We start from the raw sequence: 12,483 nt of genomic DNA, 5'->3' as shown, positions 1-12,483 counted from the left end.
TTGTAAATTTGAAAGAACTAATGTGCTAGAAATATCTTTTTCCTTTAGAGCTAGACAGTTTTCCTGAAGGTAATTTAGGTTTATCTCTCTCAATTTGTAGCTTGATCATTGTCTCCAGTTTTTAAGCCTACACTGTGAATGCTAATCTAGAATGGTTAATGTGCTTTTGAGATACGGTGAACCATGGTCTACAAATCATGTATTTTAACTTTTTTTTTTTTTTTGTCTCCCAGAGAGTAGAACTGCCGGATAGTCCACGCTCTACCTTCTTATTGGCCTTCAGCCCAGACAGGTACTCAGTATTTATCTATAACTTAAGATTTGTGATAACAGTGCTTTCTGTATATTTGGCCTGGCTTGATCTTCCAAGTCAGTCCCTAAAGTCTCTCTGAAGTACTGTATGAACAGCACTTTGGCCCCGTGTCGGAAAGGGAAAGAAAGTAGATGAGCAGTGCTAACCTGAAAAATCATGAGAACAAGCAAAGGAAACTGAGAGGATCAAAACTTGGAAAGTTTCTCAATAACAATCATTTGCCTGTGTGATACAGCTCACCAGTGGTATGATGGTTTTTCCAGTGGGAAAAAATATTTTCCGAATGTGGCATGTGTCATTTGGGGACAGTGTGGACAAGCCAAAAGCTTTTAAAGATCAGAATATTTCTGTTTGTAGATATACTGCCTAACATACAAAGCTTAGTTTCTTTCATGTTGGGATTGGCAGGTAGCATCAATATTCTATGTCGTCCAAAGTTGATAAGATTGGTTACCCTTCCACATGCTTCTGAATTCAGTTCTACTCTTTGATTTTCTAGGACTCTCTTAGCCTCCACCCATGTGAACCATAATATCTATATTACGGAGGTGAAGACTGGCAAGTGTGTTCATTCCCTGATTGGACACCGCCGTACTCCATGGTGTGTCACTTTTCATCCCACCATCTCAGGCCTTATTGCTTCTGGCTGCCTAGATGGGGAGGTTAGGATTTGGGATTTACACGTGAGTATTTCCTTAAGATACCCTTTTCTTTTGGTGTTCTAATTTTTTTTTTTTGAGACGGAGTCTCGCTCTGTTGCCCAGTGGTGTGATCTTGGCTCGCTGCAACCTCCGTCTCCCAGGTTCAAGTGATACTTCTGCTTCAGCCTCCCAAGTAGCTGGGATTACAGGCATGTGCCATCATGCCTGGCTCATTTTTGTGTTTTTAGTAGAGACGGGGATTCACTATGTTGGCCAGGCTGATCTTGAACTCCTGACCTCAAGTGGTCTGCCTGCCTCGGCCTCCCAAAGTGCTGGGATTACAGGCATGAGCCACCATGCCCGGCTTCTTTTGGTATTCTAAATGCAGAGACTTGTTTACCATTGGTTTTTTAATTCTGGAAGAGCCTAGCCAGATTCTTAGGACTACATCTGAATATATTGTTGTAGACATTGCCCACTTAATTAATAGGAAGTCTAATTCCCTGTCTTCCATTCCTTTTTTTTTTTTTTGCAATAGCTTAAGCATGCCCTGAGATTGTCTTCCATTCTTGCTAAGATGAACATCTACTTTTGCTTCCTTCAGCCCGTTGTGACATAGTACAGGAGGCTCTAAGATATGTTCAGGTTGGATTTCTGTTGTCTTAGGGCATCTTTGCCTAAGTACAGATATTCCTGTACTCCGATCATGATCATCAAAGCAAGATCCTCTTTGTCCTAGTAACTGGCTAGCGGGTTGTCTTGCACCATGTTGTGCACCGAGCTTGAGTTTTTCTCAGGCTTTGCATGGAACTGTGGGCTGGGCGCGGTGGCTCACGCCTGTATTCCTAGCACTTCAGGAGACCAAGACAGGAGGATTGCTTGAGTTCAGGAGTTTGAGACCAGCCTGGGCAGGATATTATACCAAAAATATTATACACAAAATTATATAAAATTAGCTGAGCATGGTGCCATGCGCCTGTGGTCCCAGCTACTTGGGAGGCTGAGGTGCGAGGATTGCTTGAGCCTAGGAGGCAGAGGTTGCAGTGTGCTGAGATTGTGCCACTGCACTCCAGCCTGGGTGACAGAATGAAACCCCCTGTCAAAAAAAAAAAAAAAAAAAAGAAATAGGAACTGTGTATATATGCTTAATGCTTGTAGATTGTGACTAATTTGAAGAACTGAACTGATTGTATAGTATTTATCTGATAAATTAGTGGCACTACCAGATCGCTGATCTTCTACATCTTTTTACAGAGGATGTATTTAAAGTAGTCCCTAGACATAGTCATTTTACCTTAAATGGACCTTTCTTGAAATTGACTTCCCAGTGTGCTGGTAGCTTGTAACCTGAGAATATCTGGAATTGGTTCATTCACAGGGTGGCAGTGAAAGCTGGTTCACAGATAGCAACAATGCCATTGCCTCCCTGGCTTTCCACCCTACGGCTCAGCTCCTGCTGATTGCCACTGCCAATGAGATCCACTTCTGGGACTGGAGTCGACGGGAACCCTTTGCTGTGGTGAAGACAGCTAGTGAGATGGAACGGGTCCGGTGAGTGCGCTGCCCCATCTGCATTGTCTGGCACAGGACTGACGTGATAGAGAACATTCTACTGGCTGTCACCTTGGAAGTCAGGTTGTTATCCCTGCTCAGGGCAAGTTGTCATCCTCATAGCTCCTCCTATTTTTTTTTTGAGACAGGGTGTCACTCTGTCACCCAGGGTGGAGTGCAGTGGCGCAGTCTTGTCTCACTGCGACCTCTGCCTCCTAGGTTCAAGCGATTCTCGTGCCTCAGCCTCCAGAGTAGCTGGGATTGCAGGCACCCACCACCATGCCCGGCTCATTTTTTTGTATTTTTAATAAAGATAGGGTTTCACCATGTTGTCCAGGATGGTCTTGAACTCCTGGCCTTAAGTGATCCGCCCACCTCAGCCTCCCAAAGTGCTGTGATTACAGGCATGAGCCACCATGCCCACCACCACCCCCCCCCCCCCGGCTTTTTTTTTTTTTTTAAGGAGACAGGGTCTTGCTCTGTTACCCAGGCTGGAGTACAGTTGTGCAGTCATGACCTCATGGGCCCAAGTTACTGCAGCCTTGACCTCATGGGCCCAAGCAATCCTCCCACCTCAGTCTTATGAGTATCTGGGACTACAGGTGTGTGCAGCCTCTCTCAGCTAATTTTTAAATTTTTTCGTAGAGATTTGGGGGGCGGGGCCTCACTGTGTTACCCAGGCTAGTCTCGAACTACTGGCCTTCAGTGATCCTCCTGCTTTAGCCTCCCAAAGTATTGGGATTATAGGTATGAGCCACTGCACCTGGCCGCCTCCTGCTTTCTAAGCAGCTGACTAATCAGCTGGGAGACATTCATTTTGTTCATTTCAGCTTTCCCTTATTGGCCTCATCTTCTGGTTTTTGGAGATCAGGGTCATTAGACTCTCTTTTAGTTTCAAAGCTAACTGTTTTGGATAGTACTTCTTTGGGAAAACCTGAAAGAAGTTTGGGTGGTATTTTAGATACCTTGGTGGGTTGTCTGTGTTTATCAAACTGGAAGATGGAGATGTAAGCACATAATTGACATTTATTTAGTCCTCAAGATCAAAACATATTGTCTGTATTAAAGTTGATGCATTGTGTTTCTTTGGTCCTCTTGGATTTCCAGTCGAATACAGGCCAATTTTCTGGTTTCAGCTATGTCACTTAATGCTGGGACTGTTCATTGCCACCAAGATTCATGCTTCTTGCCGGTGTAGCTGCCATATGAGGGAAGAACTGATTCTGTGGCAGAGTATGAGAGCATTTTATGCTTTACGGTTAGGATGAACTCTTGTATTTGAGCAAAGGTGTGCTTAAGGTAGCTGTTTCCTGGGATGGCAACTCTAGGTGTTTTTCATGTGAAATCGTTATTTTTGTGATACATATTCCTTTACTCTGGCAAGAAGTATTGAGTGTTACTATTTTAATCTCTTTGAAAGTTTTGGAAGTCTTGAATGAAGTGGATACCTGAGTGATACCAGTTATCAGTAATGATTGCTATAAATTCAAACACAAGTTTCCTCTTCTCAGTTAACATAATCTCTCTATGTGTGTCTTTGTCTCTTTCTTCTGTGATTTTAGTCTGGTGAGATTTGATCCACTTGGACACTACTTACTCACAGCAATTGTTAACCCCTCTAATCAACAGGTAAGTTAGTCCAGCAGTTCCAATTCCAGCTAAACTGTGAGTTCTTTTCTTAACTAGTATTCCAATTCTGATTATATTGGATTTTAATTCTCAATACCCAAGTCTTATCTTTCCAGTCAAGATTTAAAGCTAGCTTCAGACTGTATATTCAGGGTTATAGCCATAATCTTGACAGGAGAGTCGATTCTGAAACCCTCCAGTGATTGCCTCATTAGAAGTAACCCTTATCATCACTAGACAGTGTTGGATAGCTTGTCACTCATGTGCCTCTGGCTGGTTGACATTTTGCTTCCCCTCACTGCTTCCATGTCATGGGGAGATGTCTTTTGTAAGACAATTGGTTTGTCAGCTGCACTCATTCAGATATGCTGCTAATTGGGAGTGGAAAATTTAATACCATGTGATTATTTTGAATCTGAGGCCAGTTGTCAGTGCTTCAGGGGTAGAGAGTTGTTTCCTACCTATGAACATTGTTTTCCTTGGATGATTGTCAGTGGTTAGTTTTTCTTGATTTACTTGGAGGTTCTACCTAACTGCCTTGCTCTACCCCCTGCCCCATGCTGGTCCACGTTGCAGGGTGATGACGAACCAGAGATCCCCATAGATGGAACAGAATTATCCCACTACCGTCAGCGTGCCCTCCTGCAATCACAGCCAGTTCGCCGGACGCCTCTCCTCCACAATTTCCTGCACATGCTGTCCTCCCGCTCTTCTGGCATCCAGGTGGGAGAGCAAAGCACAGTGCAAGATTCTGCTACCCCCTCACCCCCACCGCCTCCCCCTCAGCCCTCCACGGAGCGCCCCAGGACTTCCGCTTACATCAGGCTCCGACAGCGGGTCAGTTACCCCACAGCTGAGTGCTGCCAGCACCTTGGGATCCTGTGCCTTTGCAGCCGCTGCTCTGGCACTCGAGTTCCTTCCCTCTTGCCACACCAGGACAGTGTCCCCCCTGCTTCTGCCAGAGCTACTACCCCTTCCTTTTCTTTTGTACAGACCGAGCCCTTCCATCCCCCGGAGCAGGCCTCGTCAACGCAGCAGGACCAGGGCCTCCTGAACCGGCCGTCTGCCTTCAGTACAGTCCAGAGCAGCACTGCCGGCAACACGCTCCGCAACCTCAGTCTGGGTCCTACCCGCCGCTCTTTGGGAGGGCCTCTGTCTAGCCACCCTTCTAGGTATCACCGAGAAATAGCTCCTGGGTTGACAGGATCTGAGTGGACCCGGACAGTACTCAGTCTGAACTCCCGCTCTGAGGCGGAATCCATGCCCCCGCCCAGAACCAGTGCCTCTTCGGTGAGTTTGCTGTCTGTGCTGAGACAGCAGGAAGGTGGCTCTCAGGCATCTGTGTACACTTCAGCCACAGAAGGGAGGGGTTTTCCGGCATCAGGGTTGGCAACTGAGTCAGATGGAGGGAATGGCTCCAGCCAAAACAACTCGGGCAGCATTCGCCATGAGCTTCAGTGTGACCTGAGACGCTTCTTTCTGGAGTATGACCGGCTTCAGGAGCTGGATCAGAGCCTGAGTGGGGAAGCTCCCCAGACCCAACAGGCCCAGGAAATGCTCAACAATAACATTGAATCTGAGAGGCCAGGCCCTTCCCACCAGCCCACCCCACACAGCAGTGAGAACAACTCCAACCTGTCCCGTGGCCACCTGAATCGCTGTCGTGCTTGCCACAATCTCCTGACCTTCAACAACGATACCCTGCGCTGGGAAAGAACCACACCTAACTACTCCTCTGGCGAGGCTAGTTCCTCTTGGCAGGTCCCCAGCTCCTTTGAGAGTGTGCCATCAAGTGGCAGCCAGTTGCCACCTCTCGAGCGGACTGAGGGCCAAACGCCCAGCTCCAGCAGGCTGGAGTTGAGCAGCTCTGCTAGTCCGCAGGAGGAGAGGACTGTGGGGGTGGCCTTTAACCAGGAGACAGGCCACTGGGAAAGAATTTACACCCAGTCCAGCAGATCTGGAACTGTGTCACAGGAGGCCTTACATCAGGATATGCCTGAGGAGAGCTCTGAGGAGGATTCACTCAGGAGGTAAGCAGTCGCTTTCCTATCTTCTGCATCCCTTGCTTTTCTCCTTGTATCATTTCCTTGAGTCCTATAGATGTTGTGGCTGTATCTGGAGTGTCTGGGACCCACGCATCTGCTTCTGATCTCGCCATTGCATTTTCTTGGAAAATCTTGCTCTGGTGGCAGAGATAGGATAGGGCCTAGCAGTATGAGTCAGTTGGCTGCGCTAGCTCTATTTCGGCTAAGCTCAAGGTTCTGGCTTTAGCCTTGAAAGGAGAGTGTAGATTAGGTTAGAGAGGCATGAGGAGATGGAACCATTGACTTTCTCTGCCTGCTTTTTGACCTTGTCGAGACATTGTATGTGCAGGACTACTTATTGTAGTAGTCCCAGAGTGCCTAGGAATAAGTAAAAGAGAACCCTGCATGGTAGAGATTAGTATATTGGCTCTTCGCTGATTGTATTGCTTTGGACAACTGAGTTCACTTCCTAATCCTTATCTTTTGGAACACTGCAGTTTGACAAAGGGAAAAGAAAAAAAAATACATATATGTATATATATGTATGTCAAGAAAAATTCCAATTTTTTCAGAGATACTTGTTTTTGGGCAGCCTATTGCTCAGTTGAGATTCTCTGAATGGACCTTCCAGGTGGACTTTCACCTTGGGGTGGAGAAGAAGAATAATTCATGGAAGGAAAGACTCTCCATACTCAGATTGGCATCCTAGCCAACTCTTTCATGGGAGAAACAGAGTAGGTGTAGTTGATCGCCCACCATATGTTCCATGTATGGCTATGTGCGCATCTATCTTGATTTATTAGGGACTTCTTTCTGTAATTTTGTAAAGGTCAAAGCTAGCATAATCACCAACTCCAAGAATATGCCTGTTGGATCCAAACAGCATATTGCGCTGCATTACATCCTCTGTCGAAGCAACTGAAATTTCTCTGACATAAGCTTCTAACAAGGGTGGGAATATGAATTATGCACATAATGTACTTGTTATTTTGGGAGGATGCTTTAGACAGTCACTCAGTCAATAAGTATTAGTTGAATGGTTACAAATTTTCTAACACTGTGCTAGGCACTGTGGGAAATACAAAAGAAGTATAATACATGGTCTTTACCCACCTGAGTCTACAGTGTTATTGTGGAGGCAAGACAACGAAATTTTTCAAAAGTATAGATGAGCAAATGCTTCATTGTATGGTACCGAGATTGGATGTAGTCTCAGAGAGAGGGAAGTATCATCCAAGAAGGCTTTGCAAAATCAAGTCTTGAAAGATGGATAGGATTTGGAGAGAGCAAGACCTTTTTATTTTAGGGAAACAGCACATGTTAAGGGAGGAAAGGGTATGGTATGTGTAGGTTCTTAGGCAGTTACTAAGGGCCCTGGGTAGGAAGCAGAGGGAGACTTGACTAGATGTGAAAGATGAATAAAATAGAGAGGTTGCTAACTCTGCCCATATGCTTGAAACCAGTTCTGGATTAACAGCTCCTCAATTCCTGGTTTTGGAATATTGTGCCTGGCATACTGGTCTTCATCAGGAGCCCGAGCCTCTGTTCTTCCTCTTTGCCAAGAGTGGTGAGAAGGCAGTCAACACAGGGCATGACATGTAGTAGGCACTTTAAAAGTTTATTAAAGATCTCTGTAAAAGGACTGTCTTCAGTTACTGCTCTAAGAAACCAAGCAGTTGCTGTTTCCGTAATACCAGTGTGCTCTGGTTAGCTTTTGTCCATTCTGCTTTAGTAGTACCTCTTCATGTGCTATTCTGAGAAATTCCTGAGTGGTTTAAATAAACTCTATTGTTTGATGATAATTAGAGATACCAGTTACTGCCGGGCACGGTGGCTCACGCCTGTCATCCAAGAACTTTGGGAGGCTGAGTCGGGCAGACCACTTAAGGTCAGGAGTTCGAGACCAGCCTGGCCAACATGGTAAATCCCCATCTCTACTAAAAATACAAAAATTAGCCGGGCTTGGTGGCGCAGGCCTGTAGTCCCATCTGCTTGGGAAGCTGAGGCAGGAGAATCGCTTGAACCCAGGAGATGGAGGTTGCGGTGAGCCAAGATCACGCCACTGCACTCCAGCCTGGGTGATGGAGCAAGACTCCATCTCAAGAAAAAAGGAAAAAAAGAGATACCAGTTACTGAGGGCCTACTATGTGTTAGGTATTGTGTTCTTGCTTTGAAATAATTCCTTCTGCCTTCAACAACGACTCTATGCAAGTCAGGTATTCAATTTTCCATTTTATAAAGTTGAGGAAAGTGAGGCTCAGGGAAGTCAGTTTCTTGTGAAAGATCATATAATAGGTCTCTGAGTGAGAATTTGAACTCTGGTCTTCATGACTAAAGATTTGTGCAAGCTGCCCTTCATGGCATTTTCCTTAATATAACATTTTTATTTTTTTGAGATGGAGTTTCGCTCTTGTTGCCCAGGCTAGAGTGCAATAGTGTGATCTCGGCTCACCACAACCTCCATCTCCTGGGTTCAAGTGATTCTCCTACCTCAGCCTCCCGGGTAGCTGGTATTATAGGCATGCGCCACCACGCCTGGCTAATTTTGTATTTTTAGTAGAGACGGATTTTCTCCATGTTGATCAGGCTGCTCTCAAACTCCCGACCTCAGGTGATCTGCCCACCTTGGCCTCCCAAAGTGCTGGGATTCCAGGTGTGAGCCACTGCGCCTGGCCGATAACTTCATTTTTAAGTGAACCACTTTTTTTCTTTTAATATTTTATTATGGAAATCTTCAAACATATATAAAAACGAAGAGAAAAGTATAACTGAGCTTCCATACACCTATAACCTGACTTCAAAGGTTATCAATGCTTGGCTGGCTTTCTTTAATCTATATTCCGTCTGCTCCCGGCACCTAGATATCAGATAATTTTGTCTGTAACCACTAGATTTTCTAGAGCAATGCTGTCCAATAAAACTTCTTACACTGATGGAAATGTTCTCTATCTGTGCTATGTAAGATGGTAGCCACTGGCCACACATGGCTATTGAGCATTTGAAATGCTGCTACTGTGATCTGAGAAAATAAATGTAATCTTTAAATTTTTAAGTAATTTAAATAATCACATGTGACTAATGGCTATGATATTATACATCTAAAATATTATTAATCACTTAATAAAGTAGGTTATTTAAAACCCAGAAACTACTGGGTAGGTGCAGTGGCTCACGCCTGTAATCCCAGCACTTTGAGAGGCCGAAGCAGGCAGATTGCCTGAGGTCAGGAGTTCGAGACCAGCCTGGCTAACATGGTAAAACCGCGTCTCTATTAAAAATACAAAAAAAATTAGCCAGGCATGGTGGTGCATGCCTGTAGTCCTAGCTACGTGGGAGGCTGAGGCAGGAGAATCACTTGGACCCGGGGAGGCGGAGGTTGCAGTGAGCCGAGATTGCACCACTGCACTCAAGCCTGGGCGACAGAGCAAGACTCCGTCTAAAAAAAAACCCAGAAACTATTAAGGATGTACCATAATTTTTTGTTTAAGTATTTTTTTCTTTTCTGGTGCCAAAAAATATATGCATTGTGGTTTAAAGTTCAACCATTTAAAAATGTGTATTATAAAAATGAAGTCCCTGGTCATCTCACTGTAAACAATTTTATATTTATGCTCATTTTCTTTTAAAATATACAAATAACTCAGGGTTCTCATTGTAAGATAGTATATTAATACAGTAGTTACATTATTTATATGGAATCACTTTTAAATGAGCTAGGATGTCGTATACCATAAGGGCTGACAGCTGTCTCAAAAATGAGGTATGTTGTAAAATAAGTGCGTACACATTAAAGAAGGACCACCATTTGAATGGCTGCATTCTGATGTAAATCACTAAGACAAACAGGTGCTGGTCTGCCTCTTCCTCTGCCTTCTAAAGGGGCTGAAAGTCTCTAGGTGATGAGCCAACCCTTGCTTCTAGTTCTCCAGCAGGTGTCACTGTTGGGCTGCTGCTGCTAGGTTAGGATGACTGGGAAGAAAAGGTGTCCCTGCTGTTTGTGTACGAGGTTGGTTCTTTTAACAAAGCCTGTTTTTGTAGATGACTGTTGTTCCTGAGTGAGTGGAGTTCATAAAAGGTGATTGTACTTGAAAGGAGAAAGTTTTGTTCATTGGCCTTATAGTAGAAGATAGGCAAAGGAGAGATGTCTGGATCCTTGGTGCTGCTGGGATATTTAATAGTGTTTGCAAATAGTGAGGGTATTGATAAGCATACAGTGTGTATTTCAGTGTAGCTGTGTGCTGCCAAGTGGTAATAACCAGTACACGGTTTGTCTCCTTTTGCCTGTGGGCAGTGGAGGGCAAACTGTCTTTTTATAATAGTCTGACGCTACATTGCAACTTGAGTGGTGGGCCTTTGCTTCACTACAAAGAAATGATTTCTCTGTGTGGGAGTGCAGGATCCAGCAGAAGATCAGGGTATTGTGGCTCCTTGCGGTAGGGTGCCCTTGGCCTTTAAAAACTGGTACTAGGAAAAAGAAAATGGTTTCAATGGCAAGTTAAAACTGGAGGGAACCTAGAACTTTTGTAGTCTAGTCTCTCTCTGATGACAAAACAGAGAGAGTAAATGATTTCTTAAAGAGGTGTTTGTAAGCAAAAGTGGGGTTTGAACTCCTGGGCCCTGAAGAGGGCACCCTTTCCTCCGTTTCATTTGAAATAAGTGCCTTCAAACAGCAGTTTTCTTTGTCAAAACCTCTGTTGCTCATGTAGGTCATTGCCTGAGGGAACTTTTCAGTTAACTCTTATTGTAAGAAATTGGAGGTCTGTTAGATAATTTGTAATTATTATTTTTGGGTAGAATGGTAACTAACACAATGCTTCTAGGAGAAATGCTGTTTTAGTTATTTGCCCATAGAACTACATTGATTAATCCCAATAAAGTGATCCCTGTTAGGGATGTTCACTATTAAAATTCCAGCAACTGAGAGAGATAAAAATTGGTCTCAATCTCCTCCTAGAAGCACTAATTGTTTCTGTATTCTGTCTCTAGGTAGTTAAAGACTTGGGTCTGGAGTATTTAGTAAGACTGAGCGTCTTCTGAGAATTTAGGTCTTTTTCTCTCATGATAGATGAAGACTGGGGAAGTACATTGACGGCCTTAGTGTGAAATGTGGCCATCAAGGTTAGAGTTAGAAGCCCTCATTGGATTGCTAAGTTTCTTAGACTTTTATGGGGGAATTGCTTTGGAGCTTAGAACAGTCTGAAGCCCTTTGAGGCTTCGTGGGCCACCACACTTATTTGATCCCTCAGCTCCAGTCACTTGGGGATTCTCCAGGGAGGCCTCGGCCCAAACATTGATGGAGGAAAATAAATGGGTGTCTGCGGGGCTGATTGTAGGTCCACAAAAGGGGGCCGGCAACCTAAAAATGAGGAAAGTAGCAGTCTTCTTAGCCTGACTACTATAGAAAGGGGTCCAAATTTAGTAGTTTTTCTGTGCCATTGATCTAGCTGAGTCTAAAGAGTTTCGATATCTAATCTCTCCCAGTTTCTTTGGATGGGGAATATACACAATTTATTATTCAAAACCCAGCACAGCTGTCACCGTGTCCCTTGGGAAACCTTCCCTGACTGTCCCAAGTAATCACTTCCTTTTCTTTGTTGCATGTGTACTAGATACTTCTTTGTGATATTGCACCCATGACAGAAAATTATTTGTTTACCTTTCCGTCAGTGAGCTCCCTGAAGGCAGTGATCATGTCTGTATATATCCCTTGTCTACCTAGAATACTACCTGGCCACACAGTAGATGCTCAGTAAATGTTAGTTGAATTGAATAAGTAGAATTGAAATTATGTTCCTTATGGTTTCATATGCAATATAAGTCCTGTTTGGCCTTTTTAGTAAAAAAGATTAAAAAACCTATTACTATATCCCATCATTTGGTCTTACAGAGAGTCATTGGCTCAATAATCACTTGTTAAATAAATGAAACGGTATTACTTAGAGTTGTACAAGGAAGTCACACCTTCCAAAACTTGAGCTCCGGTGACCTCTGATGTTTCACTGTGTGCTATGTTCCTAACTTGTGAATGGGTTGTCCTGAAGCCTGTAATAAGTCTGTTGCACCTGGCCAATATGTGTCCTTCATATTGGCTTTACACTGATGACTCAGGGTCTGCGCCTTCCTCGAGAGCACTGGCATCATATGCAGCCTTCCCTTTTTTTATCTTTTTGGTACCCCATTCCTATTGAATACAGCTTGCTCTTGACACCATTTTGTTGGTCTTTGGCTTGGCATCTCAGTAATATTATTAGGTCTTTGGCTTGGCACCTCAGTAATATTATTATCTCTGCCAGTCAGTGCTGTTGGTATTTTTTTTCTCCTTAAA

At 44.2% G+C, this 12,483-nt stretch overlaps 1 protein-coding gene across 10 annotated transcripts in view, besides 3 other annotated features; it reads left to right on the top strand.

Moving 5' to 3' along the window:
* Positions 1-12,483, top strand: part of AMBRA1 (autophagy and beclin 1 regulator 1) — a 197,612-nt gene that overhangs the window by 45,915 nt on the left and 139,214 nt on the right. For 6 of the 10 annotated variants that reach the window (NR_160027.1, NM_017749.3, NM_001367469.1 and 3 more), the window contains exons 3-8: positions 234-292; positions 813-996; positions 2,333-2,505; positions 4,068-4,134; positions 4,711-4,857; positions 5,128-6,164. Coding sequence is in view for 9 of the 10 variants with exons in the window: in NM_017749.3 (NP_060219.2) it covers positions 234-292; positions 813-996; positions 2,333-2,505; positions 4,068-4,134; positions 4,711-4,857; positions 5,128-6,164 (1,667 nt within the window). In the remaining variant the exon portion in view is untranslated. Of the gene's footprint in view, positions 1-233; positions 293-812; positions 997-2,332; positions 2,506-4,067; positions 4,135-4,710; positions 6,165-12,483 lie in introns of all 10 variants that reach the window. The other 4 variants (NM_001300731.2, NM_001387011.1, NM_001367468.1 and 1 more) reach the window with 2 other exon arrangements.
* Positions 5,856-6,150: a silencer, noted in NCBI's record as "tiled region #9650; K562 Repressive non-DNase unmatched - State 5:Enh". NCBI's record gives its function as "represses a minimal TATA promoter and a strong SV40 promoter by Sharpr-MPRA in K562 cells {active_cell/tissue: K562}" and the evidence as "EXISTENCE:reporter gene assay evidence [ECO:0000049][PMID:27701403]".
* Positions 9,475-9,980: an enhancer, noted in NCBI's record as "OCT4-NANOG-H3K27ac-H3K4me1 hESC enhancer chr11:46559679-46560184 (GRCh37/hg19 assembly coordinates)". NCBI's record gives its function as "activates a minimal SCP1, AML or CMV promoter by ChIP-STARR-seq in naive H9 embryonic stem cells {active_cell/tissue: H9 hESC(naive)}" and the evidence as "EXISTENCE:reporter gene assay evidence [ECO:0000049][PMID:30033119]".
* Positions 9,981-10,484: an enhancer, noted in NCBI's record as "OCT4-NANOG-H3K27ac hESC enhancer chr11:46559175-46559678 (GRCh37/hg19 assembly coordinates)". NCBI's record gives its function as "activates a minimal SCP1, AML or CMV promoter by ChIP-STARR-seq in naive H9 embryonic stem cells {active_cell/tissue: H9 hESC(naive)}" and the evidence as "EXISTENCE:reporter gene assay evidence [ECO:0000049][PMID:30033119]".

The sequence above is a fragment of the Homo sapiens genome, chromosome 11, assembly GCF_000001405.40.
Source record: "Homo sapiens chromosome 11, GRCh38.p14 Primary Assembly".
Classification (NCBI taxonomy): Eukaryota; Metazoa; Chordata; class Mammalia; order Primates; family Hominidae; genus Homo; species Homo sapiens.
This window is presented reverse-complemented; position numbering and strand designations above follow the sequence as displayed.